The 21,049-nt window shown below is 39.2% G+C and overlaps 2 pseudogenes; both read right to left on the bottom strand.

Moving 5' to 3' along the window:
* Positions 1 to 488: 488 nt before the first annotated feature.
* ANKRD33BP5 (ANKRD33B pseudogene 5) lies at positions 489 to 3,125 on the bottom strand (annotated as a pseudogene).
* OR4A1P (olfactory receptor family 4 subfamily A member 1 pseudogene) lies at positions 6,901 to 7,806 on the bottom strand (annotated as a pseudogene).

The following is a 21,049-nucleotide window of genomic DNA, read 5'->3' on the forward strand; positions in this document are numbered from 1 at the left end:
GGCTCCCTGCCACCTCTGCCTCCTGGGTTCAAGCGATTCTCCTGCCTCAGCCTCCCGAGTAGCTGAGATTACAGGCATGTGCCACCATGCTCGGCTAATTTTGTATTTTTAGTAGAGACGGGGTTTCTCCATGTTGGTCAGGCTACTCTCAGACTCCCAACCTCAGGTGATTCGCCCGCCTCGGCCTCCCAAAGTGCTGGGATTACAGGCGTGAGCCACCGCGCCCGGCCTAATAAATTGATCTTTAAAAACATCTTAATTGAGCTTCTCTAAAGGGAGCTTTTTAGGCAACATGCCCGCTAGGTGTACTGATTGCTAGGGTGGCTGGTGTCAGGCGAATCGCTGTGGCTCCCCCAGCCCCTTCCTGGGAGCATTCTAGAAAGACAGCGTGGAAACGCGCGCGGCCTGGTGGTCCCGGGAGGGGCCACGGTGCCCAGCCCCGCGGCCTCACGCTGCCCTCGAACCCCGTGTCAAGCACCCGCGGATTCTCACGTCCTCTTCTTCCAGGGCGGCGGGCGCTTCTCCTGCATCTTGGCCTGGCGCTTCTTCTCGGCCTCCTCAGCCTCCGGTTTCTCCTCCGTGGCCACCTTGTAAGGCCACTTGGGTATCCGCAGGTGGCCACTGTCCTTGGTGCTGCCCTTCCGCGCTGGCCTCTGGCGCTGCAAGTTGGGCGCGGGCGCCTTGCTGAGGCGGATCCGGGGCACCACCACGCCGGGCCGCAAGCTGCTCCGCCACAGGCGCTGCAGGGGCAGGAGGCTGGCCTTCCGCGGGGCGGGGTCGGCAGAGCCCCAGGACCCTGGCAGCGGGGCAGGTGGGAGGCCGGCTCTTGGGGAGCCCTCCCGGGAGCCCGCGGCCTCTGGGCAGGGCCGCTTGTGCTGCTCTGCGCCCTCCACTTCGCCCGCCTCCTGCGCCTGCCTCCCCACCCCACGCCGCGTCGCTAGAATTTCCTGAGCCCCCAGGATTTCCTGCACCGCCAGCCGCCTCTTCCCCAGGCACAGGGAGCTCTGGGGGCACACGGTCTGGCACGCGAGGGCCACAGCGGGGCTGTTAGAGGCTGGTGGTCATCCTGACCATGTGGTCCAGGGCGCCCCGGTCCTCCAGGCCACACACGGAGCGCGGCGTCAGCGCGGAAGGCTTGCAGTCCCTGACCATCTGCAGCCAGTTCTTCCAGCCCTCGGGCTTCCCCGCCCTCTGGTGGAGCGGAGGCAGCTAAGCTGGTACTTTTTCCCCAACCGCTGCTGGCAGGGGCGCTCCAGGAGCCTCTGCATGAGGCGGACGTGTAAGTGGCCACTCCTCTGGCGACATCCCACGGCAGGGGCCCTCGAGTGTACACCCGCCCCTGCGAGCTCAGGGCTCGGATGCGATCGGTTCCACCCTGCATGGCTGCTTTCAACCCGAACGCGTCCATCCTTCAAGATCAAGACCCATTCCATAGTTCAACAAGTAGTTGGTGATGATAGAGTGCCCTGACTCGGCCAGAACAGCCTCTTTAGCCAAACAGCGCAGGAAAGTCTTTAAACAGATGCTCAGCTCCTTTCTTCATTTTCACTTTAATTCCATGATGCCTCTGTGTCCCTCTGACGACATCTCTCCTGGGGTCTGGGACTCTGCTGGTCTTCCATGCCTACTGAGAAGGCTTCCTGGCCATCATCAGGCAGGAAAACCTCAAAGCCCTCCGTCCTCAACGTGGGATCCCTGGGCCAGCAGCATCAGCCTCACCAGGAAACCTGTTCTTCTGCTCATTCTTGGGCCCCACCCCAGGCCTATTCAAAGAAAGACTCCAGGGGCAGCGCTTGGCAGCCTGTGTTTCCACCAGATCTGTGTGAAAACTCAAATGAACCAGCCCAGGTGATGCTGACGCAGGAAGTGCAAGGCTGAGAGCCAGTGTCTAAGGCAACTGTGCCCATGGGGCCAGGGGCAGCTCCTGCCTGTGCAGCTATGATTAGGGTTGCGTTCCCCTCCCTGTCCTGCCAGTTGACTTCAATGTGGGGGCACTCAGCTAAGGCCACCACGGTATATCCACAAAGCCGTGGTAGCAGGCGACATCAAGGCCGGTCTAGCCATTGTGGTCAGTCTCCTGCGCCTTCTCAGCGCCCACCCCCCGCCGCACCAACGTCTGCAGCAGCCCCACGCCTCCAGGACGCCCTCCTCCAGGACGCCCTCCTCCAGGACGCTCTCCACACCCTCGAGGCCGTGCTCCTCCTCCTCCTCCTGGAAAGGGTAGAAAGAGTCGTCCCAGGCGATGCTGCGGGTGTCAGGCAGACTGGAGAAGTCCTGGAACTCTTTGTAGTCAGCGCGGTCCTCCTCGACCTGTGTGCCTAGGAGTGGGGACGGCGGTGGCCGGGTCATGCAGCGCGCCCCGCCACCCTGCAGCTGGGTCCCAGCCAGCAGCACCACGCTGGGGGCCGGAGGCGTGGGCGGGGGGCCGAGGCTCTGTCCGGGAAAGTCTAAGTTGTTTCCATATCTTGCTGATTATAAATAATGCTGCAGTTTACGTGGGAATTCAGGTATCTCTTCAAAATACTAACTTCATTTTCCTTTTATTCATTCCACATAGTGGGATTGCTGGATCAGATGGTAGTTTTATCCTTCATGGTGTCTTCCATAATTGCTGTTTCAATTTACATTCCAGTCAACCATGTAAAAGGGTTCCCTTTTCTCCACACTGAAAGTAAGGACGGCATTGTCTTAATTATATGTGGAATCTAAAAAAAGATGTCAAACTCATAAGAGCAGAGAGTAGAATGGCGATTGTGATGGAATGCCGGGACAGAGAAATGAGGAGATGTTGGTCAAAGAGTACAAAGTTTCATTTATGCAGAATGAATAATTCTGGAGAACTAAGTTACAGCATAGAGTCTATACTTGGTAATACCATATTGTATACTTGAAGTTTGCTGAGAAAATGCATCTTAAATATTCTCACCACACACAAAAGGTAATTATGTGAGATGCTGAACGTGTTGATTGTGGTAATCATTTCACAATGTATATATTTACCAAAATATCACACTGTACAACTTAAATATATATTATAGATTTTTGTCACATACACCTCAATAAAGCTATAGAAAATAAAAAACAATGTTTTAAAGATGACAACAAAAGGAGTAACCAACCTGCATGGAACAGCAAAAACAGACAAAACTCTGCAAATGCTGCACTGTCTGCAGAAGGTGGTCTGGAAGCACGAGATTGAAGGAAAAGCCTCCCAGAAGGCAGTATTTTGAGCGGTCAGTCTTGTTTTCCGCTGTATGTGGAAGGAATAATAACCATACTTATGGATCTACACTGAAAATGGACACTGGCTAACAGGTTTAATAAGCTAATGAGGAAATTGGAAATTTAAAAATGGAAAAATGATGACAAAGTAGTTGGAAGAACCATATGTGGATGAATCTCTCAAAAGGAACACCAAATACTACAATGTTAGTTTACAACATAAATGCCCAACAAAAAGAATCTACTGCAGAAGAAGCTTCCAGGAATCTCATGAACATGAACTGCATTTTGGATGTCAGTCAGCCTTTTTCTCAGTTACCTTTGTAGTCACTGTTGCAGAGATGAATACTCTACAAAGCCACAAGGTCTAAAATGCCATCAGCAATGTCCATCATTGACTCTTTAACATGGTACAAGTAGCTAGGGAAACCAGCCAACAACCTTGTGACAGCTTACTTCATTCCAACTCCTCAGTCTGGAGAGGACAGCATTTTTTCATCATATATTCTGGTTACATATTTTTCCTAGCACTTGCCTTATTTATTATTCACGGAGTAGAATCTGTTATCCATTGCCATGGTATCTCATTCATTATCTATCCAGAAGAAAATTTTTAGTAAATAAATTTAAAACATATAACTCATCACAATAGAATTTACTGGTATAACCACAATTGTCATCATCTAGAAGCTGAACAAATGAGACATTGGAATGGCCTCCTAAAAGATGAGTTACGGTGCCAGCTGGACAATCCTAACCTGAGAATGTGAAATGCTCATTTCCACATGTTTGACACACAATATGTGCTCAGTAAGTTTTAGTCATCACATACCTATGCCACATATATTCTGAGAAATTAACCCAATGCTAATAAACATTCCCCCATGCAGCCATCTATTTTGCCTTTTTTGTTCCGATATCCACAAGATGCCTTTACATACGTTCCTCCAATTCTTGTCAGTGCATATTTGATATTCACAATTTGTTAGTCAAATGAAATATTTCCTTGTAGAACAAGGCAATATTTATCACTTGCACTCCAGTGACACCTAAATATTGATCTAGTTGCAAAAAGGGAATTTTCTGGGAAAGGACATGAGGCCTTTGGTGAGGTGGCTTTCTGCAACTTCTACAGATATTGAAAGGGCTAATATCTGAAAGTTGTCTGTGAACAGCGTGCCCAGCAACTGGAAATATATATCCTTCTTTCCTAAAGGAAGGGCAAGGAAGTACATCCTTTTATCTATCACAGCCTACCTATTATGTCACTTGAATCCATTTCTTCATATACACTTGAGAACAGCTTCTTTAAGATTCTCTTCCTGGGGGAAAATTAAAAGAGAAAGGTTAAGGGACAAATATTGTCTCTTGCCACCATGGCTGATCATAGAGTTGCAACTGCTATGTACCATCTTATTCCTTTATTGTCAATTCTATTTCTCCCACTTCACCTTTTACTAGCACCGCTACTGGTCTCATGACTTACTTAAAGGTGTAGCTTAGACCTTCATCTCCAAAATATCTCATCCTGGTACACTATAATCATTCAGAACCTGATTCTTTTCTATTCTCACTTATTATCACAATTAGAAAGGGCATGGCAAGATGTGCCCCTGTCAGTCACCTGGAAGACAAAAATATCATTGCTTACCACCACTGTGTTATAACACCTCCATTCCACATCATAATCAGGTCAATTACCTTGGCTAACGTTGAAAAAAGAACCTTCTCTCAATGGCTACAGATAGCAATTCTTCTTGTGATAGGAGAGCCAGATGAAATCCAATATGTGACACACAGGATACAGTGCAGTGAGCAAAGAAAAACACTCTTTCATTAAATAATTTCATCCTCTTACCATGAAGCTGGACATAAGATTGAATTTTACACTTATGTTAGCCAATAAGTAAATATCCTTATATTTCAAGATAGTTTGAATTGAGTTTTCTATCATATGTAACAAAAACATCTTAAATGAAACATCCTCAATTTAAATATATATAGGAAACTGAAGTAATGTGTAAGTCCTATTATTTATTTACATATGTATATATTTGAAACAGTACTGCCTTTTTATCAATATAACGTTTTAATCTGTCTTATCTAGAATAGCACATTATTCTTTCAAAATTTAATTGCAATATCCATATCTTTATACTTCCAGATAAACATTTAGAATCAAAGAAATATCATGAATAGCTCAGTTTTATGCAGAAAAAAAGGCAAAATAAGTTTATCATTTTTCCCCACAGATATATACTTAGCATACAGCCATAATTTGGTGAAATAAAATTTATACACGAATATAATAAAAATAAATTCATTTTAATTTGATTAATTAATTCATTGATAGCATCATAATAGTTGATTCCCCAGAAGAAGCTTGGAGGACTATGGGAATGACAGTAAATAACACTAGTCTAGTGTAATTGATCTGTCTAGCCAAAATACAGAGTTTGGACTCATCAGGCAAGTTCCTTGGAACAACATCATTCATGACCATCAGAGACATTTTACAAACCTTACCAAATATACCATCTGTATATGGTAACACAAAAGAAATGACAATGACTCCAGGAGATTTATAATGGGAAGTTACTCACACAATGCCATTGGAACCCAATAACCTTAAAGCCCAGTTGTCTACAGAACTGTGGAAGATTAGATGCTTGCAGATGTGTGGTGTCATTTCTGAGGCCCCTGTTCTGTTCCATTGGTCTATGTATCTGTTTTGATACCAGTACCATGCTGTTTTGGTTACTGTAGTTTTATAGTATAGTTTATGTTATTTAACATAACAAAATGAAATATTTTTTTTCTAGAAAAGTACCATATTTCTGACTTGCACTCTAATGATACCTGAACCTAAATGTTAACCTGGACGCAAAGAGGGACTGCTCTGAGAAAGGGCATGAGACCTTTATTGAGGTGGCTTTCTGCAACTTCTAAAGATACCTAAGGGGACATCATCTGAATGCTGTCTACTAACAGCACACCCAACAGCTGGAAAAATAAATCCTTCTTTCCTAAATGAAGGGCAGGGCAGAGGCTCCTCATATATACCATAATATATCCCTTATGCCATGTGAATTTACATATTCTTATATATGATCAGAACAGCTCATTTAGGATTCTCTTACTTGAGGGGAATTAGAAGAGAAAAGCTGAAGGCCAAACTATGTATCTTGCCACTGAAGCTGATCTGAGTTGCAACTACTGTTTACAATCTTCCTCCTTATCAATTTTTTTCCACTTACCTCTGCTAGCATCTCTACTGATCTCATAACTTATTTAACGGGATAGGACAGATTTTCATCCTCAAAATGTTTAGTTTAAAGTTCTTAAGGGACGCACTATTAAATTTTTCTGAAGTCTTTCAAAGATTTATCTTAAGAGTATTATCAGACTGCACATTGAGTTTCAACCCAAGTCAGAGAAAAGCGAATTTCAAAGATATTCGTGAATATGGTGCTTGTATATTCTACAAAGTATTTAAATAAATTACACTAAAGGTGGCACCGTAGTCTTCATTCTGAACAGGAACATCTATTTTAATCACATATTTCTCCAATTCTCCATTCTGCGCTGCACATGTGGAAGAAGACCACACTGGGAAGACCTTGTCTACATCGTTGTTATCTACATGATAGGGGCACTCTTACTCTAATACAGTTAACTTTTTACACAAGAGTGTTTCTACAGAATTTCTCATCTCTGAATTTCTCAATGTGTATATTAAAGGATTCAACATGGGTGTGATAACTGTATAAAACACTGTCAGGAATTTATCAAAAGGATGTTTGAAACAGGTCTAACATACATGAAAATACAGGGAACAAAAAAGAGGGCAAAGACGATAATGTGGGAGCTGCAGGTAAACAGGACTTTATGCCTCCCTTCTTGACTGTAAGTTTTAAGGGAGTTTAGGATGACTCCATAGGAGATTAGTAGAAGGGTGAAGACGACTATACAGATTGTTCCACCATTGACAAAAACAGTAAGGCCAATAAAGTAGGTGTCAGTGCATACCAGTTCCAATAATGGGTACATGTCACAGACAAAGTAGTCAATGACATTGGGGCCACAGAAAGCGAGACTGTATACAACAACAATTTGAAACACAGAATGCAGAAAACCTCCAGTCACGACCACCACCAACAGAAGGATTCAAACCTGTCGATTCATGATGGTCAAATAGTGCAGTGGCTTACAGATGGCCACATAGTGATCACAGGCCATCACCACAAGAAGGAAGACCTCAGAACCACCAAACAAGTGGTATATAAATAACTGGCCCATGCAAGCTGGGAAAGAAATAGTCTTTTTATCACAGAGTAAGTCTACAATCAATTTGGGAGAAATTGTAGTGGAATATGCAGCATCTATAAATGACAGGCAGGCAAGGAAGAAGTACATTGGGGAGCCCAAGGAAGGGCTGGCAATAATAGTCACCACAATGAGCAGGTTCCCCACCACTGTCACCAAGTATGTGAGTAAAAATATGACAAATAATGCTTTTTGCACATCCAGATCCTGAGAGAAGCCCAGGAGGACAAATTCTGTAATATTATTATTCTGTCTCATTTACTTTTCTTTCAGGCTTGCATCAGAGGTGAGAGCTCAGGAGAACAGGACCTGTAATGAAATAGTCAACAGGAATATGATTACATCTATTGTGTCGCACAGCATGTCTTCATTGTTGTATCCTGAATAGTGATTTACACACAATAAACATTTAGTAAGTCTCTATTGAGTTCCTCACCCAAAGAGCCCGTCTTCCCTTGACGACTCTGTTTCTCCTCAAATATTTTAGTTTCAGCCAAAAGGTGAATGCTTCCACTTCTAAGTGTTAGTGAATAATCTATACAGAAGAACAGTTAAAGTCCAAATAACCATTCGTACATTTCACAACTTCTTATTTAAAACATTTTTCTTGGCACAGAAGTCAGCTATGCTGAATAGGCAACAGGTTCTTGGTCTCAAGAAACTTACTCTCTGGTGGTGGTAATAAACTCTAAATAAATATATTGAAATAGATTTAGTCCTTTGTGTTTGTACTTGTGGTATATTTATAATATGATCTGTGTAGCACCAAAAATAACATCTTCTGAAATATATCACTCCGTACTCTGCCCTTCTACTATTAGACATTCATTCCTTCACACCCCAAAGGATATTTAACCTTCATTAGTCTTTCATTAAATGTTAAAACACAGGACTCTGAACTGTAGGAATAGCTATGATATTATTTATCACATTGTTCCCTGTATCAATTACTTGGTCTGACTCCTGGTCCAACTTATAAGGAGCTGTGATTCTCTCCATTTTATCCTTGCCTGTACCCCAATTTTTTCAACACTTACATACAATATCTTAATTTTAATTAATCTGAACTCAAGTTAACTAACTCATGACTATCACCAACTACCAAATATGCCGTGGTTTTCTCATGAATTCTTGAGATAAGCTAGGTAGTGAGAGAAGAGAAAATAGACGATGTAGAAAGAGGTACAGAACAGTTGGACATGGTTTTATTCATAACACTATTTAGACACCAAGAGTACTCAAAAATAGAATCTTAGTTACCAGATTCCAAAAAGAAGCATACTCTAAGAGAAATTCCAAATTCTGTGTAAGAAGGCACGGATTTGAGTCATTTTTTGAACGCATTTACAAGTCTGTCTCAGTTTACTCACCGGAAAACAATGGGATTAAATTTGAGAAATTCAAAATCCTTTCTAGACAACTATCTACAGAACTAGTAGTGCATCTCTCCTTTATGGTATTCTGCTGACAATTTTCTTTTTTTATAAGTATATAATTAAATAAAAATTTTCCAAGCTCATGACTGTTACATGAAAAATGGTAGTCTGTGGGACAATAGGTTTTATTATTACAGTGAGTAGTGACTATAAGCTTCTCACTGAGTATGCACCTATTTAAGATCCAAGACACCCTCAAAGGGAAATTGTAGCATGTTGTGAATAATGTGGACACTGGAGTCACACTTCTTCAGCTACAACCTCATGTTCACCATTTTTATGAGACTTTGGGCCATTTACTAAAGCTCTCTGACCCTTATTTTCATCATTTGTAGAATGGGGATCCCAATAGTCATTACCTCTTAATTGCTTAATTTTCAGCAATTAATTTTGAACTCAAGTGAACTACCTGTTGATTTATAAAAGAAAGTAAAGTGCCTAGAACACTGGCTGGCATCTAGTAAGGACTCAATAAATTATAGTTATTATCAGTGTTCTTGAATGCTTCACTTTGAAGATAGAACAAATCATGTGAATCTTTGTCAACTTGAAAAGATTTATAGAAATAGTTTTGGTTAAAAAGAATAAAACATTTATAATTCAGGAAAACCTTTTGGGGCACACAATAAAATTGTATGTCTTAGTAATTACATATTTAATTATGTATGAGTAGTGATTTTACCTGTAATTAAATATATCTTAATGAGAAGCAAGCAGAATTCTAGTAAAAAAAAGTTGAACTGATCATCAGCAGGAGAGCTAAATGGTAGAAAATGAAAGAAAAAGGGGTCAAATCAGAAAAAAAGAGAGATTATAGTAAATACATTAATATTCACAGGAAATAAGATGATTAGTTTCATAATTAAGTGAGACAAATTAGCTGGGCATGGTGGTATACACCTGCTATCCCAGCTGCTCAAGAGGCTGAGGCATGAGAATCACTTGAACCCAGGAGGCAGAGGTTGCAGTGAGCCAGGATCATGCTACTGTCCTCCAGCTTGGGTGACCGAGTGAGACTATCTCAAAAAAAAAAAAAAAAAAAAAAGTGAGGCTAGTTTTCTGCTAAAAATCTTCTTTAGAAAAATTTATTTTCGTGAGGAAATACTGGAAGCACAACCTCCTGTGGGTCCCTGGGTGACTCAGGAGGCTTTGGGAATAGCATAACAAATAGACACAGACCAGATCCTAGTTAAAAAAAAAAAAAAGGAAAGAAAAGACAATTTAAAAAGAAAAATAAAAACAACATAGATCTCTTAGTATCTCTAGATCTGACAGTTAAGGACAAACTTAAAGAAAAGAGAACAATGCGACAAGTAGAGATACAAACCCAAACTTTGTGATATTCACTGCTGAGGAAAACTGCAGAATTACTAAACCTCAAATGTAGACAAGATGATTCCGTTTACGTAGATCTGACCATGGAGGAGGATGTGTGCAGAGAGAGTTTGAGCTTCCTTAGAAGCCATTTGTGATAAACGTTCCACATGCCTCATTCACATTATCACTTCCAGCTGATTCTAGAGTTCTGTCATTGCTGAAGTTATAGACTAACAAAGGCACATCTGTTGAAGAACAAAAGGGTATAATAAAACCTATAGCCCAGTCTCTTTTTTTCACATCTTACTCGCTGCAAGATTTAGTTCCTTTTCTCTCTTTAATCATCAATGATAAATTTCACCAGGATAAATCTTCTCTTGGGCAGTTTAGATGTTTACTTGTAAAAACCAGGATATGTAAACTATCCTCTTTAGCTTAAGTCATCAAAGATTTAATACTTTAAAAACTGAAATATAATATTACAAGGCACTCAACATAAATAAGTTAACACTTTTCTAGACAAAAAAAAAACTTAACACAGCTTCCTAAGAACATGACTTTTTCAAATGATAAAATCCCATAGTAACAAAAATAATCCCTTACAGATAAAATTTATAAAGCAATATGGTTTTGTAAATCTCTCTAAAGAAGAGTAGACTCAATACTTTCCTGAACTTGTATATGCTGAGATAATTTTTAGATTCACACATAAAAGACCATATCATGCTTCCAGAACATATTAGGCATTGATTTCTTTACACTCCAACACGATTGACATAGTCTGCAATTTTAAATTTTCTAATCAAATATATCTAAAAATAATTCTATACCTATGTTAATGTATCACATAATAAAATATTCTACATACTAGATTATAAATCTATTGGTTTACTTATTTTATGTGTAACATGGAACATGTTTCTCCTGTTACTTGGCAAATTAGAAAATAAACCCTTATAAGGCTATATATGAAAACCAAATATACTTGTATACTCTGATTAATGTCAGTGTTTTGCTTGCTTAATTTTCCCAATTAAGATTCCTCCAATGAAAACGTGATATTTAAGACTTTAGCTATAGTTCAAAACATTACAGGAAGTTTCACTGAGTATCCCTTGTCAATTGCTTCAAAAATTCACATCTTGGGTCTTGTCCTTGGTCCAGAAAAGCAATGCTTCTTTCACTGAGGGTTACTGAAGATATCTCATGCATCTATTTGTGTTCTTAAAACACATGAAAAATGTATGGCGGGTCCATGGATCTAGAAATATCTCCTAGTGTGACAATTTCCATATTTCCACACAGGCTTTCTATTATCTCAATCTTTCAGAAAAGTATAAAGGTATCCAGAGCAGATGTCCAAAATATAAAGACACTTAAACATAATGCCAGAATCTACTGTACAAAGGTAGTTAAAATTTTACATCCCCTGGAAAATTTCTTCATAGAAAAACAGAGATAATTTCTTTGCATGACTATATAAATATTGACCTAATTAGTGGAAATTAACCTGGACACGCCCATTATCTGGTGACCCAAGTAAGCAAACAAAAAATTCGTCAACACCAAAATTTGTTTCTTGAATTTGTATCTTCTCTGTCAATTATGGTGAAACAATCATTAATATTTTACTGTGATCAAGGATTTATAACATTCATGTGCCCAGCTGTTTAGCTCTATAGCTAACAAGGAAATGCTGGGATTTAACTTTGTGAAAAAGTCAATGACAAAGCTTTCTTACGGGCAGAAGCAGAACTCTTCAGTCTTTCAGTCATTCAAATAGTATATCCCTAAGACCACTTCTTTTCTGATTAAAGGCATGTCTGTATATCTACCAAATCTCATTCCAGGAAATTGAGATCTTCTACAAATTTTTACAAACAAAGGTGGATGAAATAAAACAACCCATCTAGAGGACTAGATACCAGTTGAAGACATACTGTAGCTTGGGCAGAAATTTTAATGTTTAACCTATCTATCTCATAGGTTATTCTATCAGGAAAAAAAGTCTTCCATTTATATGTGTAGACATAGTCTATGACTTTTACATCATCAATATTTTTAATTAAAAAGACCGTAAGGCTTTTATAGATGAATTAGAATATTTGGAACAAATTCAAATGAACACTTTTCTTCTGGAGAACAATCCCTAGGGGAAAAATACTTGGTTTTTGCCAAGGAAAAAGACTTGGCTTTTGTCAAGAAAGAGTCACTGAATTCCAAGTAATGTGAAAATCTTGCAATGTGAAAAAAGAAATTCTAAAGTAAATTGAACAATAAATTATGTTTTACATTATGAAATACTGAGGTAAATCAAGTAATATTTAAGCCAGAATGACAAGGAAACCAGCCCCAGAATCTCTTACCTAATCACATCCTCAGCAAGGAGGACCTAACCTTGTTGATAGAAAGTCTGTGCCTAAGAAGCCTGAGGCTTACAGGCAGAGAGACTTAGAACTGAAGTTGAGATTCTAACACTTAGAAAGGCAGGTAATCAGAGCTGTACAGTTTTAGGTTGGAGTAGAAGTTTTTAATCAAACCTGAATCTCTGTCATATGCAACCATAGTGATCATTAGTCCATTAATTCAATCCTCTAATGTATCAGTCCATTTTTACACTGCTATAAACTGCCTGAGACTGGGTAATTTATAAAGGAAAGAGGTTTAATTGACTCGCAATTCAGCATGACTTGGGGGGCCTCAGGAAACTTACCATCATGGCAGAAGGCAAAGGGAAAGCAAGGCACCATCCTCACAGGGTGGCAGGAAGGATAAGTGCTGAACAAAAGGAAAAGAGCCCCTTTATAAAACCATAAGATCTTGTGAGAACGTACTATCATGAGAACAGCATGGGGGAAACTGTCCCCATGATTCAATAACCTCCACCTTTTCTCTCCCTTGACATCTGAGGATTATGGGGATTACAATTCAAGATGAGATTTGGGTGGGGACACAAAGCCTAATCATATAATTCTACCCAGGGCCCCTCCCAAATCTCATGTCTCTTTCATATTTTAAAGAGACAGTTATGCCTTCCTAACAGTCCCTCGAAGTCTTAATTCATCCCGGCATTAGCCCAAACTCCAAGTCCAAAGTCTCATCTGAAACAAGGCAAAAAAAATATACCTCAAAGCATTTAAAAAACTAACAAGGAACAAAGAAGGATATGGTGGCATGTTTCTCTGTCCTAGCTACTTGGAAGGCTGAGGTGGGAGTATCACTTCAGCCTAAGAGTTTGAGTTTAGCATGGGCAATATAACAAGAGAGAAGAGAAGGAAAGGGAAAGGGGAAGGGAAGTGAAGGGGGAAGGGAAGGAGGAATTTAAGTCTTTAATCCATTTTAATTAGATTTTTTGTATTTGGAGAAAAATAGACATCTAGTTTCATTCTCCTACATATGGACATCCAGTTTTCCCAGCATTATTTGTTGAAGAAACTGTCTTTTCCCCATCATATGTTCTTGGCACATTTGTTGAAAATGAGTTCACTGTAGGTGTGTGGAAGGGAAGGGGGAAGGGGGAAGGGGGAAGGGGAAGGAGGGGGGAAATAGAAGGGGGAAGGGAGGGGGAAGTGAGGAGGAAGGGAGGGGGAGGGGAGGGGAAAGGAAGGGAGAATGGAGGGGGAAGGGGGAAGGGGGAGGGGAGGCTTAATCAACACCATTAACTAATTTGACCAATTTACATAAGAGAACAAGGGGCCCAAAAGCCGCAGAATATACATTCTTTTTTAAAATTTTAATTTTTAATTTTTGTGGGTGCATAGTAGTTCTGTATGTTTATGTGGTACATTACATGTTTGGATACAGGCATGCAATGCATAATAATCACATCAAGAAAAATGGGGTATCCATCCCCTCAAGCATTTACCCTTTGCATTACAAACAATCCACTTACACTCTTTTAGTTATTTTTAAATGTACAATTAACACCCTTTTGTGTTATCGAGTAGTAAGCCTTATACACTCTTTCTGATTATTTTTGTACCCATTAACCATCCTTATCTCCCACCCTCTCGCCTCCCCGCTACACTTCCTAGCTTCTGGTAACCATCCTTCTATTCTCCACATCCATAAGTTCAATTGTTTTGAATTTTAGATCCCACAAATAAGTTAGATATCATGATGTTTGTCTTGCTTTGCCTGGCTTACTTCACATAATATAATGACCTCTGGTCTTATCCATCTTGTTGCAAATGAGTGAATCTCATTCTTTTTAATGGCTGAATAGTACTCCATTGTATATAGGTACCACATATTCTTTATCTATTTATCTGTCAATGGACACATAGGTTGCTGCCAAGTTTTGGCTATTGTGAATAGTGCTGAAACAAATATGTGAAGGCCAATATCTCTTTGATATACTAATTTCCTCTCTTTTAGGTATACTTTGAGCAAAGGGATTACTGGATCACATAGTTGCTCAATTTTTAGTTTTCTGAAAAACCTTCAAACTGTTTTCTATAGTAGTTGTACTAATGTATATTCCCATCAACAGTGTATTAGGATTCCCTAATATTTTGCTCATTTTTTCATTGGATTATTAGATGTTTTCTTTTTTTTTTTTTTTTTTTTTTGAGATGGAGTTTAACTCTTGTTGCCCAGACTGGAATGCAATGGCATGATCTCAGCCCACCACAACCTCTGCCTCCTGGGTTCAAGTGATTCTCCTGTCTCAGCCTCCTGAGTAGCGGGGATTACAGACATGCACCACCACGCCTGGATAATTTTTATATTTTTAGTAGAGATGGGTTTTCATCATATTGGCCAAGCTGGTCTTGAACTCCTGGCCTCAGGTGATCCTCCAACCTCAGCCTCCCAAAGTGCTGCGATTACACGTGTGAGCCACCATGCTCAGCCAGATGTTTTCCTATAGAATTGTTTGAGCTCCTTCTACATTGTCCTTATTAATTCTTTGTCAGATGGGCAGTTTGCAAATATCTTCACCCATTCTATGAGTTGTCTCTTCACTTTGTTGGTCGTATCCTTTGCTGTGTGGAAGCTTTTTAACTTGATGTGATCTCATTTGTCCATTTTTACTTATACCTTTCTGTGCTAGGAAAATATTGCTCAATAAATCTTTGCACAGACCAATGTCCAAGAGAGTTTCCCCAATGTTATCTTGTAGTAGTTTCATATTTTGAGGTCTTAAATTTAAGTCTTTAATCCATTTTAATTAGATTTTTTTGTATTTGGAGATAGAGATCTAGTTTCATTCTCCTACATATGGACATCCAGTTTTCCCAGCATTATTTGTTGAAGAAACTGTCTTTTCACCAGCATATGTTCTTGGCACCTTTGCTGAAAATGAGTTCACTGTAGGTGTGGCGATTTGTTTCTGGGTTCTCCATTCTGTACCATTGGTCTATGTTTTTAGGCCAGTACCATCCTGTTTTGTTTACTATAGCTCTGTAGTATAATATGATGTCAGGTGATGTGATTCCTCCAATTTGGTTCTTTTGCTCAGGATAGCTTTGGCTAGTCTGCATCTTTAGTGATTCCATATAAATTTTGGGATAGTTTTTTTTTTCTATTTTTGTGAAGAACGTCATTGGTATTTTGATAGGGATTGTATTCAATCTGTAGGTTGCTTTGGGTAGTATGGACACCTTAACAAAATAGTTTCTTCCAATCCATGAACATCAAATATTTTCCCTTTTGGTGTGTGTCCTCTTCAGTTTCCTTAATCAGTGTTTACAGTTTTCATTATAGAGATCTTCTACTTCTTTGTATAAATTAATTTCTAGGTATTTAATTTAATGTGTTGCTTTTTAAAATGGGATTATTTGTTCTTTTTCACATTGTTCACTGTTGGCATATAGACATTCTGCTGACTTTTATATGTTGATTTGGTGTCCTGAAACTTTATGGAATTTATTATTTCTAATAGTTTTGTTGTGGTTATTCCAAATATAAGATCATATCTTCAGCAAACAAAGATAATTTGATTTCTTCCTTTCCAATTTGTATTCCCTTCATATCTTTCTTTTGTCTAATTGCTCTAGCTAGGACTTCCAGTACTATGTTGAATAACAGTGGGGACAGTAGGCATCCTTGTGTTCCAGATCTTAGAAGAAAGGTTTTCCATGTTTCACAATTCACTATGAGACTAGCTGTGGATCTCCCATATATAGCTTTTATTATGTTGAGGTTTGTTCCTTCTATCCCCGGCTTTTTCAGGGCTTTATCATGAAGGGATGTTGAATTTTATCAAATACTTTTTCAGCATCAGTTTAAATGATCATATGGTTTTTACCCTTCACTCTGTTGATATGATGTATCACACTGATTGATGTACATATGTTGAAATCTCAGGGATAAATCCCACTTGGTCATGATGAATGATGTTTTAAATGTATTGTTGAATTCAGTTTGCTAGTATTTTGTTGAGGGTTTTTGCTTTAATATTCATCAGAGATATTGGTCTGTAGTTTTGTTTTTTGTTGTTGTTGTTGATATATCTTTGTCTGGTTTCAGTATCAGGGTAATAGTGGCCTCAGAATTAGTTTGAAAATATTCCTTACTCCTCTATTCTTCAGAATAGTTTGAGTAGGATAGGTATTAATTCTTCTTTCAATGTTTAGTAGAATTCAGATGTGAAGCTATCAGCTCCTGGGCTTTTCTTTACTTGGAGACTTTATTATGACTTCAGTCTGCTCAGATTTTGTATTTCTTCCTCATTCAATCTTGGTAGGTTATTTGCATCTAGGAATTTGTCCATTTCTTATAGATTTTCCAATTTATTGGCATATAATTGTTCATAGTAGCCACTAATGATCCTTTGAATTTATGCAGTATCAATTTTAATGTCTCCTTTTTCATTTCTGATTATATTCATTTGGATCTTTTTCCTTAGTCTGGTTAAGTTCTATCAATTTTGTTTAACTTTAAAAAAAAACAACCTTTTGTTTCATTGATATTTCGTATTTTTATTTATTTCTGCTGTGATCGTTATCATTTATTTTCCTCTAGTTTTTGGCTTTATTTCCTCTTGCTTTTCTACTCCTTTAAGATGCTTTATTCACTTGTTTATTTGAAGGGGTTTTTTTGGTGTAAGCACTTATAGCTATAAACTTCCATCTGAGTAATGCTTTCTCTGTATTTGATAGATTTTGGTATATTTGTTTCCATTATTTGTTTCAAGAAGTTTATCAGTTTTCTTTTTTTAAATCAGTGTAATTTATTTTGATAATAGTCTACATTCATGAGAATGCAGTAAGATTCTGCATTGATATATTGCTGCTGAGAGGTAATTGATATAAATCTAGAAAACCATTTGAAAGTATGAACTGTCTTTCAGATGCCCCTCCCTTTAAAAAGACAAAGGAAATACCACAAAATTAATTTCTTCATGGACCCTACTGATCATTCAGGAGCATTTTGTTAATTTCCATGTATTAGTATGGTTTCCAAAATTTCTCATTATTAATTTCTAGTTTTATTTCATTGTTGTCAGATAAGACAATTGATATTATTTCAAATTTTTTGAATGTTTTTGGACTTGTTTTGTAACCTAACATATGGTCTATTCTTGAGAATGATCTGTGTGCTGAGGAAAAGAAAATGTTTCCTGCAGCCACTGGATGAAATGTTCTGTAAATACTTATTATATCCATTTGGTCTTTATTGCAGATTAAGTCTGAAGTTTCTTTGTTGATATTCCATCTGAAAGACCTTGAATACAAAAAAAAAATTGATAAATTCAGGTGCATCAGAATAAAAACTTTGGCTCATAAAAACTGTTAATGATATGAAAAAGTGAGCCATACATTGTGGGTGTGCTTACAATACATATGTCTGAATAAGAACTTGTATCTAGAATGCATAAAGAAGTTTTACAAGTCAAGACAAGTCACATGATTTTTTTAATGTTCAACAGACCAGCCAAGAATTATATGTTCAACATATTTAGTCATCCAGGAAATGCAAATTAAAACCAATCCAATTGTTACTGAGGATGCGGAATAACCAGAACTCTCATACATCTCTTGTGGAAGTATATAATTTTACAATTGTGTTGAAAAACTTTTTGACAGTTATAAAATTTAGTCTTCACCCTACCTCCTAACAAGCATATATCTATAATTCTACAACCCATGTGTCTTGGATAAAGACCTGTTAATGGCCCAAAGCAAATCCCTGTATGGGCAGATATAAACACACATATGGTCCAATGCAGCTCAGTGTATGGCAAGATGTAGCCCCAAGTGTAGACAGACACAGAACTGGGTGATATCATATGCAAAACTTATATAAATGCAAACACAACTAATCAAATACTGATCTTTGTGTTTTCACATACAGACCTGTGTGTTCATATATAGACTTTGTGTTCAGTTAGATACAGACCCAGGTATCACTGGATACATACATATATATGGTCATACAGACATACATGCTGCTGGATACAGATCCGAGTGCACAGTCAAATACAGACTCCTATACAATGATATTCAAACCTGTATATGGTCAGATACAAGCCTATGTGTGTCTGAATACAGACCTATGCCCGTGGCTTTAAAGATTGTGCCAGGAAATGCCAGGAAAAGACACTGAGTCCTCTCTTGTCAGCTCATTGAAAATATTAATCAAATGTAAATAAGAGAATTCCCTTTTTAAATGAAAAAGTCAAAAGGTAAGGTATATATAGACTATGAAGATGTTTACAACTTTTTTAAATCTTAAGTTCAGTGGTACATGTGAAGGTTTGTTATGGGGGTGTCATGGAGGTTTGTCATTTTAGAAGTCTGACATAGGGGTTTGTTGTAAGGATGATTTCCTCACCCAGGTATCAAGCCTAGTACCTATCAGTATTTCTGTGATCCTCTCACACCTCCCACCCTCCGTCGTGTCTGTTGTTCCTCTCTATGTGTTTGTGTGTTCTCATCATTTAGCTCCCACTTACAAGTGAGAACATGTGGTGTTTGGTTTTCCGTTCCTGTGTTAGTTTGCTAAGGATAATGGCCTCTGGCTCCATCCATGTTTCTGCAAAGGACATGGTCTTATTCTTTTTTATGGCTGAATAGTATTCCATGCTGTGTATGTACCACATTTTCTTCATCCAATCTACCAATGATGGCCCATTATGTTTGTTCCGCATCTTTGCAATTAATAGTGCTGCAATGGGCATGTGCATGCATGTGTCTTTATGTTAGAATGATTTATATTCTTTTGGGTATATAACCAGTAATGGGGTGGCTGGATCAAATATTAGCTCCATTTTTAGGTCTTTGAGGAATTGCCACATGGTTTTCCACAATGGGTGAACTAATTTACACCCCAATCAACGCTGTATAAGCATTCCTTTTTCTCTGCAACCTCGCCAGCACCTGTATTTTTTTTTTACTTTTTAATAATAGCCATTCTGACTGATGTGAGATGGTATCTCACTGTGGTTTTGATTTACATTTCTCTTTTTTTTTATTTTTTTTTAGTATTTATTGATCATTCTTGGGTGTTTCTCAGAGAGGGGGATTTGGCAGGGTCATAGGACAATAGCCGAGGGAAGGTCAGCAGATAAACATGTGAACAAGGGTCTCTGGTTTTCCTAGACAGAGGACCCTGCGGCCTTCCGCAGTGTTTGTGTCCCTGGGTACTAGAGATTAGGGAGTGGTGATGACTCTTAACGAGCATGCTGCCTTCAAGCATCTGTTTAACAAAGCACATCTTGCACCACCCTTAATCCATTTAACCCTGAGTGGATACAGCACATGGTTCAGAGAGCACGGGGTTGGGGGTAAGGTTATAGATTAACAGCATCCCAAGGCAGAAGAATTTTTCTTAGTACAGAACAAAATGGAGTCTCCCATGTCTACTTCTTTCTACACAGACACAGTAACAATCTGATCTCTCTTTCTTTTCCCCACATTTCCCCCTTTTCTATTTGACAAAACCGCCATTGTCATCATGGCCCGTTCTCAATGAGCTGTTGGGTACACAACCCAGACGGGGTGGTGGCTGGGCAGAGGGGCTCCTCACTTCCCAGATGGGGTGGCCGGGCAGAGGCGCCCCCCACCTCCCAGACAGGGCAGTGGCCGGGCGGAGGCGCCCCCCACCTCCCTCCCGGATGGGGCAGATGGCCTGGCGGGGTTGACCCCCCACCTCCCTCCCAGACGGGGTGGCTGGTCGGGTGGGGTCTGACCCCCTACCTCCCTCCTGGACGTGGTGGCTGGCCATGATTTGCATTTCTCTAATGATCACTAATATTGACCTTTTTTCATATGTTTTTTGACAGCATGTATGTCTTGTTTTGAAAAGTGTCTGTGCATGTCCTTTGCCCACTTTTTGATTGAGATTTATCAATCAAGACTTCACAATAGGTGTCTTATTCTAGGTAGGAAAATGAGACATTATAGTATACCATTTTCCTCAAAATAAACAAGTAGGGTCATGAAACCCTAAATATAATTTTATTAAAAGTATTCAAGCTTTACAAAACAGCCCTAAGATTTATTAGGAAAAATAAATATTTAGAAATTGCAAAAAAGCTGAAAAAGATTAGTAATTAGGGGAGACTATCTCTATTAAGTATAAATATTTAAAATCCTTGACCACTGGGATAGTGTGTTGCTGGAAAAGAAAACAGAAAACAAGAAAAGAAGAAACAGAAGAAGTGCCCCAAGATTGAACCTTCTAAATGTGAAGATTCTGACATACTAAAAGGAGAAATTAAATGCTGCTGGGAAAACTGGCTGGTCATATATAGAAAGCTGAAACTGGATCCCTTCCTTACACCTTATACAAAAATTAATTCA

Source organism: Homo sapiens, chromosome 11, assembly GCF_000001405.40.
Source record: "Homo sapiens chromosome 11, GRCh38.p14 Primary Assembly".
Taxonomy (NCBI): Eukaryota; Metazoa; Chordata; class Mammalia; order Primates; family Hominidae; genus Homo; species Homo sapiens.